Source organism: Homo sapiens, chromosome 7 (assembly GCF_000001405.40).
Source record: "Homo sapiens chromosome 7, GRCh38.p14 Primary Assembly".
NCBI classification, from domain to species: domain Eukaryota; kingdom Metazoa; phylum Chordata; class Mammalia; order Primates; family Hominidae; genus Homo; species Homo sapiens.
In genome coordinates this window covers 71,776,816-71,804,482 of record NC_000007.14, presented here as the reverse complement: position 1 = coordinate 71,804,482, position 27,667 = coordinate 71,776,816, and the positions used below count along the sequence as shown (strand labels likewise).

Below are 27,667 nucleotides of genomic sequence, written 5' to 3'. Positions count from 1 at the left end.
AGGCTGGAATGCAGTGGCACAACCACAGCTCACTAAAGCCTGGAATTCCCAGGCTCACACAATCCTCCTGCTTCAGCCTCCTGAGTAGCTGGGACTAGAGGCATGTGCCACCATGCCAGGCTAACTTTTTTACTTTTGTAGAAACAGGGTCTTGCTGTGTCACCCAGCCTGTTCTTGAACTCATAGCTTCAAGTGATCCTCACACCTCAGCCTCCCAAAGGACTGAGATTACAGGTGTGAGCCACTGTGGCGGGCCCATGTTATAGCAATGATTCTATTTTTCATTTGTCTGAATTTTGGGTCTGATAATTTTACTAAGAGGTGTTCAGATGGTCTTCATTAAGTGAGCAATATTGACTATTCCTTCTACATGAATGGAAGAATAAAGAATAAAGAAAAAAAATAAGACCCCAAAGATTGTGGCACTTTTGATGGGAAAGGTTTGTTTTTGGTTTGATTTTGTTATCTTGTTTAATTTTTAGGTCAACACAAACAACAGACACATGCACGCACACACACACACACACACACACGCACACACATACACAAATACACAGCCCCTCCAGTTAGCCAGTCTGCCTTATCTTTGTGGTAGGAGCACCCTGCAGTCATATGGAAGCATCACCCTTTACATTTTCTCCCAAGGAAGGGACAAGAATAAATGGGATGAAACTCCAAGCTGGATAGTGGGCAAGCCTGGCTGGGTGCAGTGGTTCCTGCCTGCACCCAGGCAGGAACCCAGCACTTTGGGAGGCCGAGGTGGGAGGATCACCTGAGGTCAGGAGTTCGAGACCAGCCTGGCCAACATGGCGAAACCCTGTCTCTACTAAAAATACAAAAATTAGCTGGGTGTGGTGGCAGGAGCCTGTAATCCCAGCTACTCAGGAGGCTGAGGCAGGAGAATCACTTGAACCCGGGAGGCAGAGGTTGCGGTGAGCCGAGATTGTGCCACTGCACTCCAGCCTGGGCAACAGAGCAAGACTCTGCCAAAAAAAGAAAAAAGAAGGCAAGTCTTCCTGACTGCTCCAGGAAACCCTGTATCAGGGGCTCACATTGCATATAGAATTCATTTTCCTACAGCACCAAAAGGAATTCCCTACAGAAACCCTTTTGAAGGCAGGGAGGAGGCTAGAAGACCCTAGCTCAGGGGTCTGCAGTCGACCTTTCCATCAATCACACCTGGCTTCCCGATGGAAAATCACTCAAACTGAGTCAGGTGCTGACCACATTCCACCCGCGGTTCTGGGTGCTTTGTGCATATGAATTCATTTCACCCCTCTGAATTCAGGAACTCTCTGGCATTACATAGTATTAGAACTTTATATGTCCCCAGTATCATGAGAATATTTGGTTAAAAGCATGACTTTCAGGCACTCCCAGTCTCTCAGATATCTCTGAATCCCGTAATTATGATAAAATATGCTTGCTATACTTTTTTTTCTTTTTCTTTTTCTTTTTTGAGACAGGGTCTTGTTCTGTCATCCAGGCTAGAGTGCAGTGGCGCGATCTCAGCTCACTGCAACCTCCACCTCCTTGGTTCAAGCAATTCTCCTGCCTCAGCCTCCTGAGCAAATGGAATTAACAGGCATGCGCCACCATGCCCGGCTAATTTTTGTATTTTTAGTACAGACAAGGTTTCACCATGTTGGCCAGGCTGGTCTCCAACTCCTGACCTCAAGTGATTCCCCATCCTCGGCCTCCCAAAGTGCTGGGATTACAGGCGTGAGCCCCCGTACCCAGCTTGATATACTTTTGTGTTACTTGTCAATCTTTGCGTCCTAATTTTTTGGAAAAATTACCATAGCCTGGCAACATAGCAAGACCTCTTCCTTACAAAAAGAAAAATTTTTTAATTAGCCAGGCATGGTGGCGCATGCCTGTAGTCTCAGCTATTCGGGAGGCTGAGGTGGAGGGATCACTTGAGCCCAGGGGTTCGAGGCTGCAGTGAGCTATGATTGCACCAGTGCACTTCAGCCTGGGCAACAGAGCAAGACCCCAACTCTGAATAAAAAACTTACCAAGCCCATATCCCCATAACAGGTTGGACATTTAAGTATGTGTCTACTGAAAGTACCCATTCACCATTCATACTGAATAAGGGAGTTTTTAAGGATGTTTTGCCTCAGTTCCACCCATTTTAGGCACCAGACATTCTTGGTTTTAGAGATCATAAGCTCAATGACACTGAGACGAATGTATATCTTATTATTTGGTTCCAGTTGCTGGCATCTATGGAATTCAGTGGTCTTTGTGGTTGAATCATCTATTTGCCGGTCACCAGATTCTTATTAAGTGCTCCCATGACACATTATACTATCTATTAAGGTTGATGGTGCTTGCTTCCAGGATGTTTACTGTTTAATCCATATGGATGCAGTCCAGAAGGAAGAGGGTGGAAGAGAACTGTCACGCATGCCTGCCAAGTGCTGGTCATTTATTAGGTTGGTGCACAAGTAATTGCGGGTTTTGCCATTAAAGGGAATGGCAATTTTTTCTTTTTTTTTTTGGACACAGTCTTGCTCTGTTGCCCGGGCTGGAGTGAAGTGATATGATCTCAACTCCCTGCAACCTCCACCTCCTGGGTTCAAGCAATTCTCATGCCTCAGTCTCCTGAGTAGCTGGGATTACAGGCATGCACCACCACGCCCAGCTAATTTTTTGTATTTTTAGTAGAGACGGGGTTTCACCATGTTGGCCAGGCTGGTCTCGAACTCCTGACCTCAGGTGATCCACCCACCTCAGCCTCCCAAAGTGCTGGGATTACAGGCATGAGCCACTGTGCCCAGCAATGGCAAGTGTTTTAACAGCAAAAACTGCAATTACTTTTGCACCAACCTAATATGAACACATTGCATTGACCCCTCTGCATGGCCCTGAGAGACAAGTTCTGTTACCATTTTCATGTAGATGAGGAAACTGAGGCTCCACAAAGTGAAGTCATTTTTCCCAAGTCAAATAGTGGCTAAGAATTTTAACCTGCAACCTGGGCAACATGGCAAAACCCTGTCTCGATAGATAGATAGATAGATAGATAGATAGATAGATAGATAGATACATACATACATACATACATACATACATACATACATACATACATACATACATAACCAGGCATGGTGGCAGGCACCTGTAGTCCCAGCTACTCAGGAGGCTCAGGTGGGAGGATCACTTGAGCCTGGGAGGTTGAGGCTGCAGTAAGCCACAGTCGCACCACTTCACTCCAGCCTGGGTGACAGAACGAAACCCTGTCTCAATGTTTTTATAAAAAGAATTTTAACTGGATGAAGAAAATGTGGTACATATACACCATGGAATACTATGCAGCCATAAAAAGGAATGAGATCATGTCTTTTGCAGGGGCATGGATGAAGCTGGAAGCCATTATCCTCAGCAAACTAACACAGGAACAGGAAACCAAACACCGCATGTTCTCACTCATAAGTGGGAGTTGAATAATGAGAACACATGGACACAGGGAGGGGAACATCACACACCGGGGCCTGTCAGGGGGCAATGGGAGGGAGAGCATCAGGATAAATAGCTAATGCATGCGGGGCTGAATACCTACCTAATGGGTTGATAGGTGCAGCAAACCACCATGGCGCACGTTTACCTATTTAACAAACCTGCACATTCTGCACATGTATCATGGAACTTAAAATAATTTTTTTTTTAATTGCTGAGTCAAAACAAAAGAAAATAATTTTAACCTGGGTCTACCTGTCAATGCCCAGCCCTGGCCTCTTCATTGGTCACCCTGGGTCATTTACCTGGGCTTTGGCATTTCAAAGTCTTCATACGAAACGGTGCTTCATCACCCGTGCTCATTTTCCATTTCATTGCCGACGAAAGCATATTATATTTGGAAGTCGAGTAGAAGCACAGCAAGATCTGTGTGTGCGCCCTCTTAAGACACATCCCCCAAGTGTTGTCCCTAAATGGAATACCAGCTGTCAGATTTTTCTAGACATTCTGACAACCGGCACGGGAGAGGCAAGTAAAGCGAAATCACCAACTGGGGAATAAATAGTTTCTGTGAAAGACAAGACAGAGCTGCTCTGAATCACTCAGCGCTTCCATATGAGGGACAAAAGAAACAAGTGCCAAGGATGGTGACACAGGCCAGGCAGCCCCAGGAAGCCCCCTGGGGAAGAGGTGTGGATTCTGTGCCAACTAGCTGTGTGACCCTGGGAATGTTGGTTAACTTCTCTGAGCCTTATTTTCCTCATCCATCCCATGAAAAGGCTGGATGATGATGGTCATATTTAAATACAGAAACTTCTGGGCTCACTGGAAGGTCAGAAGGAATTCTGCAGCCAAATCCAAGGTTCCCAGCTCAGTCCTCCCCGCTGAAGTCACAGCGTTCCTGTCGGGCTGTCAGGTTCACACCTGGATGGAGAGACCTGCCCCATCACCTGGCCATGCACAATGGTTCTCTCATGCCCATCTAAATAAAAAGGGCACAATATGTCATCAACACCATCTGTTCGCAGTTCTCCTGTGCTGTGACTTTCCTGAAATAAAACCTTTCTCCTTGGGTAGACATAGGAGGTTAAGGAGCTGAGGTCAGTAGCCAGTGGTGAGACAGAGGACAGTTTTCAAAGAGATTTGGGACTTCAGACAAAAAGGAATTTTTCTTCTGTTTGGGGACCCTTCACAGCACACCTGTAGGAAGCAATGAGATTCTGAAACAGAAAATAGAGACCCAGCTGGGCGCGGCGGCTCATGCCTGTAGTCCCAGCACTTTGGGAGGTTGAGGCCGGTGGATCACTTGAGGTCAGGAGTTCGAGACCAGCCTGACCAACATGGTGAAACCCCATCTCTACTAAAAATACAAAAAGAAATAAAAATTAGCTGGGTATGGTGGCGGGCACCTGTAATCGCAGCTACTAGGGAGGCTGAGGCAGGAGAATCGCTTGAATCCAGGAGGTGGAGGTTGCAGTGAACTGAGATCGCACCATTGCACTCCAGCCTGGGCAACAGAGTGAGACTCTGTCTCAAAAACTAACTAACTAACTAACTAACTAACTAAATAAATAAATAAATAAATAAATAAATAAAAAGACCCAGAGAGCTGTTTTGTGTAAATAACACTGAAACAGAGCTGGTTAAGAGCTCCAGCTCTGCACCCAGGACGAGCCTGGCTTAAAATCCTTCCCCAGCATGCCCTCACTTGAGTGAGGCACTTGGGTAAATATTGAGAGTCTCCTTTTCTCCATCTGTGAAAGGGGAATCATGATACAATCTTCCTCATGCAGTTGTTTTGAGGATTAAACAACATCATCCATGACAATATTCAGTACAAAACTCAACATATTAGTAAGCACTGGAAGTGAATGAATGAAAGGCAAGGCTAACCAGTCCCTAGCCCCAGTTATCTTCTTCTAGTTATTTTTTTTACCTGGAGACATTGCTGAACATGTGCTGCTGCTGGAGCTCCATGTCTTCATGGAGCAGGAACCAAATGCAGGGGGTGGGAGCCTTGCTGTTGACACATTCATACCCGGAGTCAAATCACTGCCCACATTGGGGGTATCAAGGATATTCATCAAGACTCTCAGCTGGGCGTGGTGGCTCATGCCTGTAATCCCAACACTTTGGGAGGCCAAGGCAGGTGGATCACGAGGTCAGGAGTTGGAGACCAGCCTGGCCAACATGGTGAAACCCCATCTCTACTAAAAATACAAAAAAAAGCTAGTCGGTCATGGTGGTGCATGCCTGTAATCCCAGCTACTTGGGGGGCTGAGGCAGGAGAATTGCTTGAACCCCGGAGGCAGAGGTTGCAGTGAGCCGAGATCACACCACTGCACTCAAGCCTGGGTGACAGAGCAAAACTCCATCTGAGAAGAAAAAAAAAAAAAAAAAAAGACTCTTACCAGCCAGGCGTGGTGGCTCACACCTGTAATCCAAACACTTTGGGAGGCAAAGGTGGGAGGATCACTTGAGCCCAGGAGTTCGAGACCAGCCTGGGCAGCATAGTGAGACCTATTTTACAAAAAGTTTTTTAAAAAATTAGCCAAGCATGGTGCAGTCCCAGCTACACAGGAGACTGAGACAGGGGGATTGCTCGAGCCTAAGAGATTGAGGCTGTAGTGAGCTATGATCATACCACTGCTCTGCCCCCAGAAGACAGAGTGAAACCCAGTTTCTATAAATAAATAAATAAATAAATAAAATATAGTTTGGGTTGCAAATAAAAGAAAGCCAACCAAGATTCTTTTAAACCAAAAAAGCACTGGCTCAAATAATGGGGGAAGTCAAGTGCATGAACTTTGGGTGGCCTGGACTCAAAGAGCTCAAGCAACATCTCTCTCTCTCTCTCTCTCTCTCTCTCTCTCTCTCTCTCTCTCTCTCTCTCTGTCTCTGTCTCTGTCTCTCTCTGTCTCTCTCTCTGTCTCTCTCTGTCTCTCTCTCTCTCTCTGTCTCTCTCTCTTGCCTGCTCTCTGCCTCTCCCTCTCTCTGTCCTTTTTAACTCCCTGTTAGCTCCATTCCTGGGCAGACTCTCTCTTCACAAGGTATCAAGATTTTCTCTCTCAGTATCTGTCTTCATCCAAAAAGGAGCTCCAATCAAACCTGATTAACTCAGGTGCCTACTGCAGAACAATCTTTGGGTATGACACCTGGTCAACCTGGTTTGCGATGGTGGAAAAGGTGAAGTCAGGGACTAAGTTCCACCAGATGGAGTGGTGGTGAAGGTCCCAACCACAAAAGATGAATTTTGTTATTAGAACAAGGGGTAGGGCTTCCAGAGAGACAAAAACAATGCCTGGCTACTGCACCAGAGTTCATTGTAGGACCCTCAAAGCAAAACACAGCTGTCTGGGGTCTAGCAAACCTGAGATGCAGGGCATGAGATTTTGTAGAGGAGAAGGGACCAGCTCCCAGCCCCACAAGTCAGCATGACTTATCTTCCTCTTAACAAAAGCATCATGAAACATACCAGTCTCACTCTTATTCCATAGAAGCCACATCCTCCAGCTCTTCCTTTGAGTTTTGGGTACCTGGGCATTTCTGATATCATTGGTGTATACAAAATTCTCTTTGAAAAGCTCTTAATTAGTTCCATTTTAGGGTGCATAAATAGCCAATTTCATAGAATCATAAAATATCAGAACTGGAAGGATCAAAGAGCAAAAATAGCTCCCAGACCTGGTGGCTCTGGTTATCCTAAGAATCACCTGAGTTGAGACTGCTACTGTTTTATTTTTTAACATCCCTGCACCCCCAGCTCCCTGCCAGAAATAATATGACTTCTTTTGGTCTGTCGCGGAGCAAGGAATCAGAATTTTCGTGGCTCTGATTTGCCTCATTTGGAAGCCGGTGTCTCTGAAAACATGCAGCCCAGCTCCCAAATGTGGAGATTGAAGGCAGAGGGATTATGAACCTGTTGTCTCCAGGGCCATGGGCTAATGAGTGGCAGAGTCTCTGCAGATGACTCTCTCCAGGAGAAAAGCCAAGAACCACTGCCTGTCATTTGCTGAGTGGAGCAGTGTGAATGGCTGTTAAAATAAGAGAGGGAAAGAAACAGTCAAACAGTCTGTCGCTAGAGCTTGCACACCCAGGTCTCACTGAGGCAGCCACCAGTCTGTCATGCATGGAGCCTGTGAACAAGCTTGCAGGAAAACAGGAAACTCTGCCTCTGTGTCCTCCCGCGGCAGCCTCCTCAACTCACGTTTCATTCCCAAATACTTTCTGAGCTTCCACTGTGCCAAGGACTGTGCTGAAAAAGAGCCCAAGGTTTAGTGGGAAGATAGAAAAGATCACCAGCAGCATGACATATTCAGTAAGACCCCAAAAGGTCAGTTCCTTGAAAAAACGAAACATAAGCTGGACGCGGTGGCTCACGCCTGTAATCTCAGCACTTTGGGAGGCCGAGGCAGGTGGATCATGAGGTCAGTAGTTCGAGATCAGCCTGGCCAACGTAGTGGAACCCATCTCTACTAAAAATACAAAAAATTAGCCGGGCGTGGTGGCGGGAGCCTGTAATCTTAGCTACTCGGGAGGCTGAGGCAGGAGAATCACTTGAATTTGGGAGGCGGAGGTTGCAGTGAGCCAAGAACATGCCACTGCACACCAGCCCGGGCGACAGTGTGAGACTCCGTCTCAAAAAAAAAAAAAAAAAAAGAAAGAAACATAGAGTTACTATATAACCCAGTAATTCAACTTCTAGGTTTGCACCCAAGAGAATTTAAGACATATATTGACATGTAAACATGTGCATGGATGTTCATAGCGGCATGACTCATATAGTACCCAAAAGGTGGAAGGAACCCAAACGTTTATAGCTTACGAATGGATAAACAAAGTATGACATATTCATACAATAAAATATTATCCGGTCATAAAAAGGAATGAAATGGCCGGGCACAGTGGCTCATGCCTGTAATCCCAGCACTTTGGGAGGCCAAGGCGGGTGGATCACGAGGTCAGGAGATTGAGACCACCCTGGCTAACACAGTGAAATCTCATCTCTGCTAAAAAAAAAAAATGCAAAAAATTAGCCGGGTGTGGTGGCGGGTGCCTGTAGTCCCAGCTACTCGGGAGGCTGAGGCAGGAGAATGACGTGAACCCGGGAGGCGGAGCTTGCAGTGAGCCGAGATGGTGCCGCTGCACTCCAGCCTGGGTGACAGAGCAAGACTCTGTCTCAAAAAAAAAAAAAAAAAAAAAAGAATGAAGTACTGGTAAATGCTACATACAGCTGGAGGAACCTTGAAAAATTATGCTAAAAGAAGCCAGACACGAAAGGTCACCTACTGTATGATCGTATTTATTTGAAAGATTCAGAGCAGGCAAATCCTTAGAGACAGACGGTAGATTAGTGTTTGCCTGGGGCTGCAGAGCGAGCGGAATGAGCAGCGACTGTTAATGTGCCTGGGATTTCTTTTTAGGGTGAAAAAATGGCTCTGGAATTAGGTAGTGGTGATGGTTGCGCAATCTCGCGAATGTGTTAAACGCTGCTGAATTGGACATAATTTTAGAACAAGGGCCAATTTTATGGTATGTGAACTATATCTTAATTAAAAATAAATAAATATTGAAAGCTAGATCATTACAACAAATAAACACAAGGAGCAGGCCCTTTTATAGAGCAGGGTGTTCAGAAGAAACCTCAGAGGAAAGAAAAGTTTGGGCTGGGCCCCAGAGAAAAAGAGGGAAGATGGCCGGGCACGCACAGTGGCTCATGTCTATAATCCCAGCACTTTGGGAGGCCGAGGCGGATGGATCACAAGGTCGAGAGATCGAGACCGTCTTGGCCAACATGATGAAACCCCGTCTCTACTAAAAATACAAAAATTACCTGAGTGTGATGGTGTATGCCTGTAATCCCCTCTCCGCTACTCGGGAGGCTGAGGCAGGAGAATTGCTAGGGAGTTGGAGGTTGCAGCGAGCCAATATCGTGCCACTGCACTCCAGCCTGGCAACAGAGTGAGACTCCATCTCAAAAAAGAAAAAAAGAAAAGAAAAAAAATAGGCAAGATCAGAAGGCACCACTGATCTACACTGAAGAAAATGAGGAGACCTGCTTGGCTGGAACAGAAGTGGCCAAGGCTGGAACAGAGCCAGGAAGCGGGGAAGAGTGAGCTATGGTCTTATGTGCTGAGCTTAGGGGCTGGAACAGGCTTCTCCCATCAGCGGGGGCCTTTGCAGGAAGGGAAAGGTGAGTCTAGCTGCAGTTCTGAATGACTTGATGAAGGAAGAGATGAAAACAAAGATTTGGGAGCATCTGAGTTAGTCTCAGCCTCGTGCTGTAGGCTGCAGGGAATAGGATGAAAAACCAGCAGGGGTTTCCTCCTGTCCTCAGGGGATGCAAGAATGAAATTTTGTATTTCTCTGGCAATTTACAGTTGGATGTAGCTTTCACTTTGATTAGCTCATTGATCTTTGAAATAATTCTTGAGATGAGCAGAGCAATTATTAGCTCCTTTTACAGAGAGAGAAACTGACGCTCGCAGAAGTTCCTTCATTTGTCCGGGGCTTCTAAGTGGCAATTAGGAGAAGAAGTCAGATCTTGGACTCACAGTTTTTCCCAGACTGACCTATAGTCTTCTATTATAGACTTCTAAATAATAGACAGCAAGAGTAAATAAATATGCAAAAATATAGTACAATGCAAATGTATGATAACCTTCAATAATTACCAAGAAATGCATAAATTAGTGCCAGGTCGCAGTTCTGTCCACCACACTCGGTGTTTGAAGTGCATTTTCTTTGGACCTGTTTATTGCTATGCAGGAGACCAAAAAGAATTTGTACACAAGTTTTGAACCTGGGCGTAACAGTAAGCCCTCAGCTCAAATCCCACCTCTGCCATTTCCCAAATGACCTTGAACTTCACTTATTGGAATTCAGGCTCCTCACGCAATAAATGAAGACAACACACCCATCACACATGGTATCTGCCACTATGCAACCTCTGCACATAAAAAAAAAGCACTTAACGCAGTACCCAACCCGCTGAGGCTGGTGTTCAATAAAGAAATAGGAGCATTTAAAAGGTTTATACAAGGGAGCTCGCATTCATTGGGCACAAACAATTTTCCAGTTCCTTCCTATATGCATAATCTCCACAAGAAGATAGATCTTTTTTGTATGTGTTTCTTTTTGTTTTTTTTGGTTTTTTTAGACAGTCTTGCTCTGTCACCCAGGCTTGAGTGCAGTGGCATGATCAACCTCTGCCTCCTGGGTTCAAGTGATCCTCCTGCATCAGCCTCCCGAGTAGCGGGGATTACAGGCACACAACACCGTGCTCAGTTAATTTTTCTGTGTATTTTTAGTAGAGATGGGGTTTTGCCATGTTGGCCAGGCTGGTCTCAAACTCCTAACCTCAGGCGATCCACCCACCTCAACCTCCCAAAGTGCTGGGATTACGGGTGTGAGCCACCACACCCAGCCCAACAAAGATAGATCTTATTATCCCATTTTATAGATGAGAAAATTGAGGCCTAGGGAAATTTGCTTGCTCAAAGTCACACAGAGAATCATGATCCACATTTTGGTCTGGCTCCAAAGTCATTCCTCTTTGCTTAGCCACACTATTCGTGATGATGTCAGAATGTGGTGTAAAATGATTCTCTTCAAAGCACAGGGTACTGACTCAGACTAAGGTCTATTTCAGAGCTGCTACAATCCACTAATGATCTAGAAGCTCCTCTGTGCTTTTTTTTTGTTTTGTTTTGAGATGGAGTTTCGCTCTTGTTGCCCAGGCTGCAGTGCAATGGCGCAGTTTCGGCTCACTACAACCTCTGCCTCTTGGGTTCAAGCAATTCTCCTGCCTCAGCCTCCCTAGTAGCTGGTATTACAGGCGCCCGCCACCATGCCCAGCAAATTTTTTGTGTTTTTAGTAGAGACGGAGTTTCACTATGTTGGCCAAGCTGGTCTCGAACTCCTGACCTCAGGTGATCCACCCACCTCAGCCTCCCAAAGTGCTGGGATTACAGGCGTGAGCCACCGCACCCGGCTCTGCTCCTCTCTGCTTATAGGACATTGGTGTGAATTCTCCAGGCGATTGCTCAGTCCTTATCTCTCCCTTCCTACTGCTTGGATGGATTTTTAGATCAAACTTGCAGCCCCGCTCTCCTGGGGGATAATCCCTGTTGCTGGTAACCTTGTTTCCTGGTTGACCTTCACGAAGAAGAGCTTCAGCAAAAACTTTCTCCCTCAGCCCAGTCATGCAATGTTTCTCTTCCTAATGCTTTCGCAGGCCCTCAAGATGGAATGGAAAAGGGCTGCCTTCGGAAACATTTCCAGGAGAAGAAGCTACTCAGAATAAATTAGCCAGAAAGTGTTAGGATATGCTACTTCCACATTCTCGTCTTATTTTCTTCTTTGGCCCTTTCCTTCTTAAATGCCACCTCCTTTTTCCTTCCTGGGACTTGGTATCTTTGTACATTTGCCTACTGATGGGATAAAGCCCATCTCTACCCCAAGGATATTGTCTTCCTCCAGGTAAGAACTTGTAAGATTCTGAGACCCACACCTAAACAGCATTATTTGTAGTAGCCAAAAGGTGGAAGCTTCAATCGGCAAGAAGAAAGCTGAGCCACATATACTTTAAATCGCCCCAGGGAAGCAGAAATCAGTGGATTCAGAAGGAATAAAGATAATGAGATGAGACCTAAGAGACCATGGCGAAATAATTCACAAGTATCATACTGGTGAGGGGGCTGGGGGTTGCGGCTGGCTCACTGGGGTCACTGTAAGTCAGATCTTAGACTTACAGTTTATCCCAGGCTGACCTATAGTCTTCTATTACAGACTTCTAAATAATAGACAGCAAGAGGCAAGAGTAAATAAATATACAAAAATATAGTACAATGCAAATGCATGATAATCTTCAATAATTATCAGGAAACGCATGAATTAGTGCCAGGTCGCAGCTCTGTCCACCACACCCAGCATTTGAAGTGCATTTTCTTGAAGCCTGGCTTTCTGGAGAAACCTTCCTGCTCAATGCCATTTTTTTTTTCTTTTTTTGAGACGGAGTCTCGCTGCCTCCCAGACTGGAGTGCAGTGGCGCGATCTCGGCTCACTGCAAGCTCTGCCTCCCGGGTTCACACCATTCTCCTGCCTCAGCCTCCCCAGTAGCTGGGACTGCAGGCGCCCGCCAACACGCCCGGCTAATTTTTTTCTATGTTTTAGTAGAGACAGGGTTTCACCGTGTTAGCCAGGATGGTCTCGATCTCCTGACCTTGTGATCCGCCCGCCTCGGCCTCCCAAAGTGCTGAGATTACAGGCGTGAGCCACCGTGCCCGGCCTCAATGCCATTTTTTTAACTTTTAGTTTAGGTTCAGGGATACATGTGCAGGTTTGTTCTGTAGGTAAACTCGTGTCACAGGCGTTTGTTGTACAGATTATTTCACCACCCAGGCACTAAGCCTAGAACCCAATAGTGATTTTTTTCTGCTCGTCTCCCTCCTCCTACCCTCCATCCTCAAGTGGGCCCCAGTGTCTGTGGTTCCCTTCTTTGCATCCATGTGTTCTGATCATTCAGCTCCCACTTGTAAGTGAGAACATGCGGTATTTGATTTTCTCTTCCTGTGTTAGTTTGCCAAGGATCATGGCCTCCAGCACCATTAATGTTCCTGTAAAGGATGTAGAAAGCAGTGTGGCGATTCCTCGAAGAGCTAGAAACAGAACTACCATTCGATCCAGCAATCCCATTATTGGGTATATATCTAAAGGAACATAAATTGCTTTACCATAAAGACACATGCATGGAATCAACCTAAATGGCCATCAATGGTAGATTGGATAAAGGAAATGTGGTACATAAACACCATGGAATACTACACAGCCATAAAAAAGATCAATGCCATTTTTAGAGATCCTTTGACAAGCCCTTGGGACCCTTTCTCTTGGAGAAAATTCTGTTTGCCTTTGGAAATATGGCCAGCTTCCTACTTCTTACCTGGTATTAATACCAGGAGTTTGGATGAGCCACTTCACATCAAGGGAGAGAGGTAGTTGAGCTTGAGTGATTTTTATATTCTCTAAAGGCATGTGAACACAACCTTGACCTTTTTCTTTTGCTACGCAGTCTTCTTTAACAGCTGAATGTAAAGAGCCATCTTCTTCAACACCCCTGATTTCATGTCCCCAACAACACACACACACACCCCTCCTGTCCCCGGCAGCTCCATCCTACTCCGGGCCTACTGAATCAGAAACTCCCGAGTGGATGTCTAGCAATTGCTTAATTGCCTGGAGAGCTTATTAAAACACAAATTCCCAACCTCCACCCCAGAGGTCTGATTCAGTAATTCTGCAATAGGGCTGAGAATCTCATTTGTATCAAACTCTCAGCTGGCGCTGGTGCTGCTGTTTCAGCCAGTTGCTCTGGAGTAGGTGGCTTCCTGCCGACCTCAAGGGCACAGATGTCTCCTCTAAGCTATCTGGGGAACCGTGCACAACTGCAGGACAGACAGCAAGGGAGAAAGTGTAGAGGAAAAGGAGGAGGAGATGGAAAAGACATTCTGACATCCACTCAGTTTCCCCTTAGGTAATGCAATGCCTGGGATCCTTGATGCACTTCATCAAAGCCCACTTGCTTGCTTGCTTCTTTCTTTCTTTCTTTCTTTCTTTCTTTCTTTCTTTCTTTCTTTCTTTCTTTCTTTTCTTTCTTTCTTTCTTTCTTTTCTTTCTTTCTTTCTTTCCTTCTTTCTTTCTTTCTTCTTTCTTTCTCCTTCCTTCCTTCGTTTCTTTCTTGCTTGCTTTCTTGCTTTCTTTCTTCTTCCTTCCTTTCTTTCATTCTTTCTTTCGCCTGCCTTTCTTTCTTTCTTTGTTTCTCTCTTTCTCTTTCTTTGATTCTTTCTTTTTCTTTTTCTTTCTCTTTCTTCTTTCTTTCTTCTTTCTTCTTTCTTCTCTCTCTCTCTCTCTCCTGCAGGGTCTCACTCCTCTGTGGCTCAGGCTGGAATACAGTGGTGTGACCACAGCTCACCACAGCCCTGAGCTCTTGGGCTCAAGCGATCCTTCTGCCTCAGCCTCCCAACTAGCTGGGACTATAGGCATGCACCAACGACACCCAGCTAAATTTTTTTTTTATTATTTTTTGTAGGGACAGGGTCTTTCTATGTTACCCAGGCTGGTCTCAAACTCCTGGCTTCAAGCAATCCTCCTGCCTTGACCTCCCAAAGTGCTGCAATTACAGGCTAATGCTTTTTCTTGTTATTTCCATTTATCTGTTTCTGGCCCATATTAATATCCGCTAATTCATGCCTTTTGATTGAGACCTATACATGGTTTCTCATGGGCGTTATAAAAATGAAAGTGCAAGACCTGGCACAACAGAAAGATTAAGAGAACGAAACCCCTAGACCCAAAGTAAACCCTGTGGGGCCGTGGTATCTGGAGGCAGGACACCCTGCCTCTGGCATGTCTAAGAGAGTTTGGTGCCCCCCTATCTTCACATTGGTGCTGCCCAGAGCAAGCAATCCCCACTTCCCCAACTTCAGCAGCATCCAAGATCTCACGGAGGGCTTGTTAAACACAGATGGGGACCCCCACTCCCAGAGCCTCTGATGCAGCAAATCTGGGGTGGGGGCTGGACAAGAATCTGCATGTTTTTTTGAGACAGAGTCTCGCTCTGTCTCCCAGGCTGAAGCACAGTAGCCTGATCTCAGCTCACTGCAACCTCTGCCTCCCGGGTTCAAGCGATTCTCCTACCTCAGCCTCCCAAGTAGCTGAGATTACAGGCATGTGCCACCATACCCAGCTAATTTTTGTATTTTTAGTAGAGATGGGGTTTCACCATGTCGGCCAGGCTGGTCTCAAACTCCTGACCTCAGGTGATCTGCCCACCCCAGCCTCCCAAAATGCTGGGATTACAGGCATGAGAGCCACCAAACCTGGCCAAGAATCTGCATTTTCAAAAACCTCCCAGTGGCCAAGCATGGTGGCTCATGCCTGTAATCCCAACACTTTGGGAGGCAGAGGCAGGAGGGTGGCTTGAGCTCAGGAGTTTGAGATTATACTGGGCAACATAGCAAGACCCCATCTCTACAAAAATGAAAATTAAAAAAATTAGTCGGCCAGGCGCAGTGGCTCACGCCTGTAATCCCAGCACTTTGGGAGGCCAAGGCGGGTAGATCACAAGGTCAGGAGATCGAGATCATCCTGGCTAACGTGGTGAAACCCCATCTCTACTAAAAAATACAAAAAATTAGCCGGGCATGGTGGCGGGCGCCTATAGTCCCAGCTACTCAGGAGGCTGAGACAGGAGAATGGCATGAACCTGGGAGGTGGAGCTTGTAGTGAGCCAAGATCATGCCACTGCACTCCAGCCTGGGTGACAGAGAGAGACTCCAGTATCAAAAAAAATAATAATAATTAGGCACGGTGGCACACACTTGTAGTTCCAGCTACTCAGGAGGCTGAAGTGGGAGGACAGCTTGAGCCCAGGAGGTTAAGAAGGCTGCAGTGAGCTACAGTAGTACCACTGCACTCCAGCCTGGGAGACAGAGCAAGACACTTTCTCTAAAAAAAAAAAAAAAAACAACAAAAAAAAACCTCTTAGTAATGGGGATGCTGCTTGTCCAACGACCCCACTGTAGAACCACTATGTGTATGTCTGAAATAATGCAAGAAGTCACTTATGGTGATTAGCAAAACCCAAGAAAACGTCCAGGAAAGGTAAGTTGCACCCAGCTGATCACAGAGGTGTAGGGAAGCATCTGAACTTCCACTCTGTTTGTATCAGCTGCAGAAATGGATACAGCAGTCACTGGATGATGTCTTTTATGAAACTCACCCTGGAATGTCCCATATTTCCGGGCTCTGAAAGTCACTCTGGCTCTATTCTATCAGAAAATTTAGGCCTTACTCTGATCATCACATCCATCATGATTCTTGTTATAGAAGTTTTCTCATTTCATACCTTTCACCAGAAGGCATTTTGTATTATGCAGTCTCCATGGCAGTGGTCCCATAAATGCCTGTCAACTTGATTTGACCAGTCTCATCCTATAGGACTCACTGCTGGCCTGTTGAGGAAGAGTTGCAACCTATCTCACTGTGTTATTTCTCTCTTCTCTCTTCTCCCAACCCCTCTTCCTTCTTCCCACACCTGCTTCTCCCACCACCAGTGCATTCCCAGAAGCAGAACAGACAGACCTGCGTCCGGAAGAGCCTCATATGCGCCTTTGCTATGGCCTTCATCATCAGTGTCATGCTGATTGCAGCCAACCAGATACTCCGGAGCGGCATGGAGTAGCAGCCTCCCGCCAGCCACACTGTGTTGCAGCTCACCGCGCATGTGCATGCCGTGCGGGCAGACTCTTCCTCCACACAGCAGACACGGACCTATGGACTATGGATGGATGCGGACGATGGAACCGTTCAGTAAAGAACCCAAGGTTGAGTGCAACTGGGGTTGCACTTCAGCTTCATCTCCTTGGCAGGGACACTAAAGGGCTGTCTTCAGTGCTTTAATGGTTTTGTTTTCTAATGCAATAAATCGCCAGGATTTCCAAATTATTGCTTCAACCATCAGTCATAACTCTAGAGAAAAACTTCATCTTCATCTCGGAATTCCAGCAGCCATCCAGGTATAATGGTGAGAGAGCAAGAGAGAGGCATGAACACACAGTCACCTCCACTCCCCATTCTTTCAACCCAAGGGTCAACAGGAGACTCTCTGCTGAGGTCAACCCTCAGTTCCAAGAGGCTGACTTCAGGGTTGCCACAGAAGAGGGGGCTTTCCATCCCACCCTGGCTTCCTTCCTCCACCCAGTGGAGACCCCCCCAAGGCATGAGGGGAAAGCCATTAAGTGGGGTGCAGCCCTGGCGGTCTTCAGCTGCACCCCTCACCGCTTCCGTTCTTACTGCCTTTTCTAGAGGACTGCCATTGGTAGAGCTGGGGTGCTCTCAGTTTCCGTCGGCACTTGGCTTTCTGTTCCTAGAGCCCATCCCGCACCAGCATTTTGGAACCTGCAGAGAGCCTTTCTCCCAGCTTTGCCGCCTGTGCTGCCATTAGAGAAAAAAAGAAGCATAATCGTGGGCATCTCTATAACATAGACAGATATATATATTTGGCTTCTTCGTGTGTGATGTCATTCTTCCCTAATCGCTTACACCTAATATAAGCTTGTCCTCCCTCCCACACTCATCCCTGCTTCTTTGGGGCAGGGGTGAGGCAGGTTGAGGGGGGAGGGGACTGGGACTGGCGGTGAGGTTTTGATACCCACACCCAGCCATCTGGAGTCATGGAGACCCACCACGTCTCTATGCCGGATGACCTTTGTAAGTTAAGGTCCTTGTGCATCTTACCTTTCCCTTACCTTGGAGTTTGCTTTGTTAGTCTTCCCCAGCTAAAAAGAGAAATGCAATCCAAAATGGAAAGATGGAGAGATCAAACGACTGTATTTTCACATAAGATCTTCTGGCCTTCAGATTCTGCAACTGACTCATTTTCAGGAGGTTGGGGGAAAAGATGTTTATGAGTTTAGCCAACAGAACAGGTAATTTACTCCTGCCTGCAGAATACTTTTCGTTGGGGAAGAGAACTGAATCCAAGGATCTGTTTTCAACACCATTCCAAGTCTGTAATTTCCTGACTTTTCCTAGATGTCAGCCACTACTATGAATTCAAGCTTGTGTAGTCAGATTAGCCAGTAATCTCTAGATGTAATAGTTCCCTTTGTACTTTTCCAAGCTCAGGTCTTTATTTTGTAATGGAATTACCTTGCTCCTACTTCTTTTGATTACATCCTAAAACTACATGCTTCCCCCCTTCCAGTAGCGAGCCACCAGAAGCTTTCTTGTCTCTATGCAGTGGGTAGGATTTTTTGGTGCGTTGTGTGTTCCTGATCTCCCTCCCTGTCTTCCTGCTCAGCTTTCTCCCTACTGCCTTTTCAGACTTGGAGCACCCAAGGTCTCCAATGAAAGTTTTCTCATTCACCTCTGCAAGTGCTACTGGCAACAGCCTGAGGGCAGCTGTAGAAACTTTCCCTCTGTGGGAGACTATGAATATTCCTGATGAGCACAAGTAAAACTAAGGCTTCAGCCATAATATGGAGGAGGGAGCAGATGTAAGCTCCCAAGAGCCTGGGGGATCACAGGTCCCTCTGCAAAACTTCCTGGAGTTCAGCCCAGCAAGGCCAGACCAAGGAGGCAGCAACCTGCCTTTCCCCCTTACCTGCCCTGCTGCCTGCACACTGCATGCCTGCCCCTTCTGCTGCTCCTGTTGGCTGACTCACCACTGTCCCCTTAGGATTGGAATTCTCAACTAGAACCGGTCCAAATGCAGAATATTAATACATCGAACAACTTCATCCTTAATCTCTGCCCTGGGCAGTTTGCCCTCTCCCATCTGGACTTAGATGGGAGGGCATAGCAGATCTTGAAGGGATATACTTTCCTGTTTTTCCCTGACCCCCGAACCACCCAACCACATCCATAGGGGTGCAGGACCCTAAGTAGACTGGGTAGAAACCCCAGGGATGATTCTTCAAAGCCCCCTCCTCCATGAGAGGGGACTGAAATGCTGCAGCTGAGGCTGGTCTTCAGGGCAGAAAATGAGTACTTCTTTGAAGGTGGCTTTTCTGCGAGTTCTTCTGCCTCCTGCTGGAGAACAGAGACCCTTCAAGAGGTGAGGGTTAGATTTCATTGGCAGAGAGATTAGCCACTGTGCAGGAGTAGGGAGGAAAAGGAGTTCTGGAGAGGCGCCGCCATCCTGTTTTCTGGAAAGGCTGCAGGATTCCTTTCCTAACGGTGACCTTCTTCTTGCTCCCAGTGACCTGGAAGCAAGCCCACCCTCCCCAGGGGAAAATCTAGGAGAATGCATTCCTCTGCAGACTGCTAGAGAGAGATGGCAAGAAGGAAGACACAGAATTCTTTCTGACAGCCTAGGAGTTATCTTCCCACTGTGGTAACCCCCCATGTGGCACCCAGGGACTGAAGGACACAGTGCGTGGAGACGGCCCTGAGCTAGCGGCATTCCTTAGACTTCAGGAGCTCAGAGTTTGTCCCGGTGACTTGCACCCTGGCTGCTTTGCTTGGACAGTTTGTCTTGGGTATAGGGAAGCCTTCCTTGTCAGGCAGCCAACTCCCAGCCCTGTTCACACAAATTTTATGCTAGGGCCCCATGCCAGTCAGTGTCCCCATCATGGTGGCTATGAAGCTCACGGCTGAAGATTCCAGAAGGTCCTGGTCTCCCATGCCCAAGGGATGCCATGTAGCCCCAGCTGGAAGTGACTTCCGCAGGAATTGAGAGGGAATAGCTCACCCCTCATTCTGTCCTCCGGACTTAGGAACCAGTGACCTTGGCTGCCCAACTGTGTGGAGGCTGAGTGATTGACAAACACAGGTTGGCTCATTCTTGCTGCAAGAGCAGGTACCCCCCGCCGCCCCCCTGGAAAGCACAAGTGATGAGCAAGAAGGCATTTTCCTTGGGAGAGAAGGGGAAATGGACCCTGACCCCCTTGATCCCCAAAGAAGCTGCGCCCCACCTTTCCAGATACCCACAAAGCCCCCAGACAGAATCTAGCATCGGGACTATTAGCAATGGCTTCCAGAATGTGCTTGGGTCCCACGTGACTGATCTGACAAAAAAAAAAGAGGGATATTACCATGGCAACCCTTGCATTCCACCCTGAGTTTGCCAAGGCACACAAAAATAGGGAACATTTTCTTAAAGAACACTCCAATTCAGCCTGAGTGCAACCTGACTCTCTGCATCTGTATCCTGCTGGGAGAGGCAATTACCCTTAAAGAATCTGGGTGGTATCTCTGCCTTTTTGTCTGGCATTTGAACTTGTCCTTCTATTTACTCAGGAGAGCAGGAGCTACCTGTAAGCCCTGGTATCTCCCCATCCCTACTCCCAGCCCCTTCTCCCAGGGTCCAGAGCCAGGACCCCTTAATCTAGGTAAATTGACAGAAATATCATCTTGGAAGGCAAACAAGATATTAAGCCTCCAATCTTTAAAAGTATCGGTTTGCCTGTTGAGCACACTCCTGCAAGCCAAACACGTGAACTTTGGTGAACTGAGGTTTAGGTGTGGTCTTAGGCAAACCCAGTGGTTTCAGAAATGTCTGGGTGTTTTATTTGCAGAGAACAAGATGTGTCTTATGAGTCTTCTTTCTCAATACCTGCCCTGTCTCAAATCTCACTTGACAAATGGTCTACGATCTTGCAGTTATCCAAAAGAGCCTATGAAAAATGGACAGCTGCTTTTGACAATAATGCCCCTCCCAACTTCCCATTCATAGAATCATAAAGCGATATGTTTCAGAACTGAGAGAGAAAAGTTTACCTTTTATTCCAAATGCCTCGTACTCGGTTTAAGTCCAGACTCAGGTCATAAATCAAAGACAGTTTTGCACGTTGCTCTTCACCTAAATCTAGCAGTTTCCCTGAGGCCCTATGAGGGCATGGACAGAAAATGAAGGATGCAACCACCCAGGACAGCTCCCTGGTTTGGGCTGGCCTGGCCACGTGTGGTCACATGTCCTGGGATCTGTGTTTACTGTGTCCTTGCTCTCCTTCCTTGCAGAAGCTGCTAAGCTCTGCTCCTCCTAACTGCAGGTCTCAAACCCTATTGGGTCATTTTGCCACACTATTTCTCCAAAGGCCCATAGTCATTACATTTTTTACCATTTCACCAAGATAACAGGGGGGGTCTGGAATTCCCCTGCTAGGAAGGGCCCCTTTTCCTATATCACCGTGATGGTACAGATGAACTGAGATGAAACTTTTAGACTTCAGCACGTCACACATCCTGGTTGTATAACCAGGAGGTCTGCAGAGCTGCAACCCCTGAAGAACATCTGTCTTAAAAGACCTCAAATCAGAACATTCTCATTGGCCTCTTCAGTGATCCCCATGGAGCTAAGAGTCCGTAACCTAAAGGCCTTACCATAGCCATCTTCCCTCCACACCTGATTGCTCAACTGCCCCAGAAGGGGAGAATCTATCTGAAATAGAAAAGAAGCATTAAGGACCAGGTGCGGTGGCTCACACCTATAATCCCAGCACTTTGGGAGGCCAAGGCAGGTGGATCACTTAAGATCAGGAGTTCAAGACCAGCCTGGCCAACGTGGTGAAACCCCATCTCTACTAAAAAAAAAAAATACAAAAATTAGCCAAGCATGGTGTCGGGCACCTGTAATCCTAGCTACTCTGGAGGCTGAGGAGGGAGAATCACTTGAACCCTGGAGGCGGAGGCTGCAGTGAGCTGAGATCGCGCCACTGCACTCCAGCCTGGGCAACAGAGCAAAACTTCATCTCAAAAAATAATTTTAAAAAAGAAACATTATTCACCAGCTAAGACTTTTCAATTTAAATTATTTAAAGTGACAGCAACATAGAGGAGAATTTGGGCTGCCTCTTACCGACCCAGTCTCCATGATAATTTGAGTGTCACAACTGTTCAGCTTCACTTCATACTTGCTTTGACTAAGTCACTCGGGATTGTCCTCAATTTTTTGGCCCTGCCATAAATAGGTGTATGTTAGTCCGTTTTGCATTGCTATAAAGGAATACCTTAACACTGGGTAATTTATAAAGAAAAGAGGTTTATTTGGCTCGCAGTTCTGCAGGCTGTTTGAGCAAGGTATCAACATCTGCTTGGCTTCTGGTGAGACCTCAGAAAGCTTTGACCCATGGTGGAAGGTGAAGGGGGAGCAGGCACGTCACACAGCAAGAACAGGAGCAAGAGAGAGGAGAAGAGGTGCCAGTCTCCTTTTCTTAACAACCCGCAATTGCATGAACTAATAAAGTAAGAATTCACTCATTACTACAGGGAGGGCACCGAGTCATTCATGAGGAATCTGTCCCTATGACCCAAATATCTCCCAGCAGGCCCCACCTCCAGCACTGGAGATCAACATGAAATTTGGGGGGAACAAATATCCAGCCTCTATGATTGGTTTGGAGCAATGAGATCAATTACACCAACAAGCCAAGCATTTCTCTTAGTATCCTATGGTCATTGCTAATGCATATGGTCATTTTGACAGCTGTGGTTTCTCCTTCATATTCATTTGGGACTCTTCATAGGGTCTCGAGAGACATGACAATACTGTTCAAAACGTCTCCAAGGCAAAATTAATTTTATTCCGTTGACTGGAAATATATCACAAAGAATGAGGTTTTTCCAGTCCCACCCACAAGACAGTCCTCTGAAAGTGGAAAAGCTTGCCCGGCCACCTGCCCCTACCCTGACCTTGGGGTAGTTCATCAGTTGAGCACAACCCCCATGCCGGGCATAGACTCACCCATCTCTTTTCCTCAGGTGTGATGGGTTGGCTTTCAAACTAGTGTTTCTCGCACTGTTAGAAGTTATTGTCCAAGTGGAAAGGATGCAGAGGCTGGAATTTTCCAGTGGGATAGAAGAGCAGGCTAATTAGGAAGGAATATTCCAGGGAATGCAAGGTGCAACTGCGATATTGCTCCATCCCTGGACCTGAGGGAGACAAAGAAAGTTCTTAAAGGGCTGCAGATGCTGTCCTCTGAAGGTCTTCTCTGGATCGCTGGCCTACTTTGGAAACATGCAGGCCATTGAGTGCCATGGGGCTGCCCATCAGTCTGATCCACACGAAAGGCTCTGTGCATTTCAAGAGCAGGCTGGTAGCTCGCCATTCCTGGGAGGATGCTGACATCTGTCAAGCCCAGAATGCCTCTCTCAGGGCTCTCAGACCTGTTAAACTGAGGCCAGGAGAGCAGAAGAAAGAACTCAAAGTGTGGACGGTACTACCAGCTGGAGAAAGCCCAGGAGCCAGGACTCTTCCACCCACTATCTAGGTTATGTTGAGTGACATTCCTCCCTGGCTTCAGGTTTCTCTAAAGCCAGAGGAAAAGTAAACCAGACAAGCCCTCCCATCTATTTTGTCTGAAACAAGATGGAGTGAATGCTCCCTACTGAGAGGGTCTGGATTTCACCCATGAATTGCACTAGGAACTGGGAGCTCCTTTTTGAACACAAGTCCCAAGAGGCAGTTGTGATAAAGTCTCTCTTTTGGTGTCCGCTGTCTGTAAATGAAACAATGCAAATTGGTGTATGTTAAATGTGTCACAGCTTGCAGGCAAGAGGTTTTGTTTATTCTCTAAGGACTTGCTGACTCGAGGGAGCATCAAAGATGAGCTTTCTGTCTGTCTTGGCAAGTGTGAAAATAAAGGGAGTCAGTCACCTCCCCAAAGGTCATGTGAATCAGAATTCAGGAGAAAGTTGGAGGAAACAATGGCAGATTCCAAGAAGAGATGCTTGTTTCTCCATTTGAGAAAGCCTTACTGAAAGCTACTGAATAAAGAGCACAATTTCCAGTTATTTCTTTCTTTGCTTTTTTTTTTTTCTGGCCACTATAACAGCACTTCCAGTATATGTTGATAGTAGCTTGTAATTATTCCTAATACCCCAGAAAGAAGAGAGTCGTGATCTTTGGTGATTGTGAGGAATTAGATTAACAGTCGCGGGGGACCGGCTACCTGCGACAGCCCTTTAAATGGCTAATGAGGGATGCTGAGTGCTGAGCGGTGCCTGCTTTTGATGTGGCCCACCCATGACCAGGGAGAGAGGGCAGGAAGAGAGCAGCTGCAGGATCCACAAGTCTCTAACCCTTCTGCCCCAGGCAACATAAAACCCTAGATTCTTGTTCTTTTTCCCTCTTCCTAAAGTAGACTGACGTCCCAGTAATTGTTTTTCTAACAAGCCCTGTTGTTCTCCCTGGGAAAGACCTAGATTGGCCAAGAAAGGATCCTGTCAGCTCCTGGTGGAGAGTTGCACAAGCCAGTGGCTCTCAACTCTCTCCAAGGAAAATTAAAGCATATTTTCTCTTTCTTAGCTCAAAATCAGCTTTCAGGGGTCCTTATTGGGGTCTGATTTTCTTCCCCAGTTCTGAATCCAGGAAGAAGCTTTTTCTCCAAGGACCAACCAAAAACAATGACTTTGGAGAAAAATTAGACTCAGAAAGTCTGTCCAGGCATTGGGTTGGTGAACTGTCAACTGTTGGATGGGGAGGAGGGGTCGCTGTGATCGTAGCGGTCATTAGACTTGGGACGTGAGTTGTCTCTCAAAGCACAGTAGTAAATGACTGTATTTTGTATATTGCCCCCAATATGTTGGGTGTAAATAGAAGCACAGCTGGGGATTGATCATGGCCAGGACGATTGGAGCTTGGCAGCTCTCATATCCAGAATAAGCCACTAAGACGGAACTCATCAATCACCATCTTCCCATTTACCTCATTAGCATCCCATTTTCTCTCATTCAGTATTAGTTGATGATTTCTGCTATTAAGTGATGAGAAAGTCAGCAGACTAGTCAAAAAAGAATCTTTATATAAAATGTACATATTAATATAAATTAACTTAGCATGCAACTTACCGATCAAATGAAGTATATATTATTAATATGTTATCTTAGTGTATAAAGGAAAACTGCCATATTTACCAGATGTTTTCTTTAACCGAACTTGTCTGTAAATATATAATCTGTATAAAAAGAGTCTAATTTACCATTATTTATGCAATAGAAAAAATAAAAGTTTTTTTTTCTTTTGACAAGAGATTCCATTCATTATGTGTGGTTTGATTTACAAATGGGTCAGGAGACTCATTCCTGGGACCCCAAAGGGCAACCAGTTCTGTTCAATGACAGCCTGGCATCACCAAGAAGCCACAGGTGAGAAAGCAGCCTTGGGATCTCACTGTCTGCTGGGATGCTAAAGAGAGATGACTGGCGTTAGGGCAAGTAAGTGGACTGTGGAACATATGGTGAGAATTATGAAGTGTCTTCTGGCTAGGGAGCAGACATTATAATTTTTAAAACTTTGTAGACACCCAAGCTAATGGTGTCATCCTTTTGGGATTCTGTTTGCCAGATTCTTCTCAACATTACGTTAAGGCATTGCATAGCTTTTACTTAAGCTTTTGGAATTTTTAATGCTATCTGAGCTTCTTGGAAATAGAAAAAGACACCTATTTCCTTAAATAAGGAAACGCAGGGTATGACAAAGTTAAGTGACTTGATTAAGGGCACTAGCTGAGATCATGCCCAAAATTTCTTTTCTTTTCTTTTCTTTTTTTAGAGACAGGGTCTCCCTCTGTCACCCAGGCTGAAGTACAGTGGTATAATCATAGCTCACTGCAGCCTCGAACACCTGGGTTCAAGCGATCCTCCCACCTCGGCTTCCTGGGTAGCTGAAACTACAAGTGGGCACCATTATGAATGGTTAATTTAAAAAAATTTTTTAGAGATGGGGGTCTCAGTATGTTGCCCAGGCTGGTCTTGAACTCCTGAGCTCAAGTGATCCTCCTGCCTTCGTCTTCTGAATAGCTGAGACTGCAGGCTCATCCCATAGCACCCAGCTTATTTTTATTTTTAATTTTTGGCAGAGACAAGGTCTCACTCTATTGCCCAGACTGGTGTCAAACTCCTGGGCTCCAGTGATCTTCCCACCTCAGCCTCCCAACTAGCTGTGACTACGGGTTCACTGCCCAAATTTGGACCAGAACTTGGCCTCCTGTTTCCAAGAACCATGAAGCATCTCATATTTTCTTCACTTCTCAAAAATGTTATCTCACATTTTTCCAGATGCCTTGTTTTTAGCCAAAAAACTGAGTTTCCCATTGGGTTGGATCTTCCAGGGTCCTCTCGGGCACCCTGTTTTAAATATTCCATTTTATATACCTTCTCAGGGGTCGCTTATGAGGTGAATTCACTAAGCATCTGTTATTGTTTTAAAAATCCTAAAAATAGAATGTTTCAGGCATAAAGCACACTTTTCTTTATGCTTTTCACTCCATTAAAGGCCTCTGGAAAATTCCAGGGAGATGATGACTTAGAGTTTATCCTCTCTGATCTGCCGTTTTTCATTTTTGTTATTATAATCTAGCACCTAGTTATGAATATTCTTTTTCCCCGGCAACTCACCCCAGGAGTTTCCTGTATAACAAACTGCTCACCAGAACACTGACCACAGAACTCAGTGTCTCCGAGCCCTGACACACTGAGATGAGGACAATGAACCCCAAAGACTCATTGTCCAATGTGGGCCCAAACTGGATAACGTCCAAAGAAAAACAAAATTCTCCCTTAAGATGTGAACCTACCTTTCAGTCCCATTGAAAAATTTTTTTTTTTTTTTTGAGATGGAATTTCAGTCTTGTTGCCCAGGCTGGAGTGCAATGGTGCGATCTCAGCTCACCGCAACCTCTGCCTCCTGGGTTCAAGCTATTCTCCTGCCTCGGCCTCCCGAGTAGCTGGGGTTACAGGCATGCACCACCACGCCCGGCTAATTTTGTATTTTAAGTAGAGACAGGGTTTCTCCATGTTGGTCAGGCTGGTCTCGAACTCCCGACCTCAGGTGATCTGTCTGCCTTGGCCTCCCAAAGTGCTGGGATTACAGGTGTCAGCCACCACGCCCAGCCGAAATTTTTCCATGATTTCGTAGCAAAATGAAATTCAAAGGCTTTTCTTTCACATAAAGGTTTGTGGTTCAGCCACATTCGCAGTTAGAAAGCTGTGCCCGTGGATTCTCTGCTGAATCCAGAAGGTCTACCTGTAGCAAGGAGCTTTGTTTTGAGTGACAAAAGGATCGGTGCAGTGGCTGCCGCAGACCTGTGGCCAAGTTCTGTCTTGCACTCCCTGGTTTTAGGACACAGGACACCTGAGTTTCTTTTCCTTCTTTATTTTTTTAAGACAGAGTCTTGCTCTGTCTCCCAGGCTGGAGTGCAGTGGCGTGATCTCAGCTCACTGCAACCTCCACCTCCTGGGTTCAAGTGATTCTTGTGCCTCAGCCTCCCCAGTAGCTGGGATTACAGGCGCACACCACCACTACTGCCTGGCTAATTTTTTTGCATTTTTCATAGAGACGGGGTTTTCGCCATGTTGCCCAGACTGGTCTCAAACTCCTGACCTCAGGTGATCCACCCACCTCGGCCTCCCAAAGTGCTCTGATTACAGGCATGAGCCGCCGTACCCGGCCCAGAACACCCAGGTTTCAATCATGAGGCCATGCCCTGAGCACAGGAAACAGCTATGTTCTAGCCTCCCAGGTACACACCTGTAGCTCCTGGTTCTCTGCACCTGGGGCGATGCTCCACATCCCGCATAGCTCAGTGTGTGGCCAGAGGGCTCCTTTGGTTTCAGTGGTCTTTGGTAATCTGTCCTGCAGCTGTGCTCGGACCTGGCTGCCTGCACCAGGCAAGAACCCTGCTCTCATTTCTGAGTTTCC

The 27,667-nt window shown here is 46.4% G+C and overlaps 1 protein-coding gene across 14 annotated transcripts in view, besides 1 other annotated feature; it reads left to right on the top strand.

The window, feature by feature from the left end:
- CALN1 (calneuron 1) overlaps window positions 1-24,992 on the top strand; it is a 724,789-nt gene extending 699,797 nt beyond the window's left edge. For all 14 annotated transcript variants that reach the window (XM_017012677.2, NM_001363460.1, XM_017012683.2 and 11 more), the window contains one exon: window positions 16,581-24,992. In XM_017012677.2, coding sequence (XP_016868166.1) covers window positions 16,581-16,708 — 128 coding nt within the window. In that variant the 3' untranslated portion in view covers window positions 16,709-24,992. The remainder of the gene's footprint in view (window positions 1-16,580) is intronic.
- Window positions 23,449-24,270: an enhancer, noted in NCBI's record as "NANOG hESC enhancer chr7:71245198-71246019 (GRCh37/hg19 assembly coordinates)". NCBI's record gives its function as "activates a minimal SCP1, AML or CMV promoter by ChIP-STARR-seq in naive H9 embryonic stem cells {active_cell/tissue: H9 hESC(naive)}" and the evidence as "EXISTENCE:reporter gene assay evidence [ECO:0000049][PMID:30033119]".
- Window positions 24,993-27,667: the final 2,675 nt, after the last annotated feature.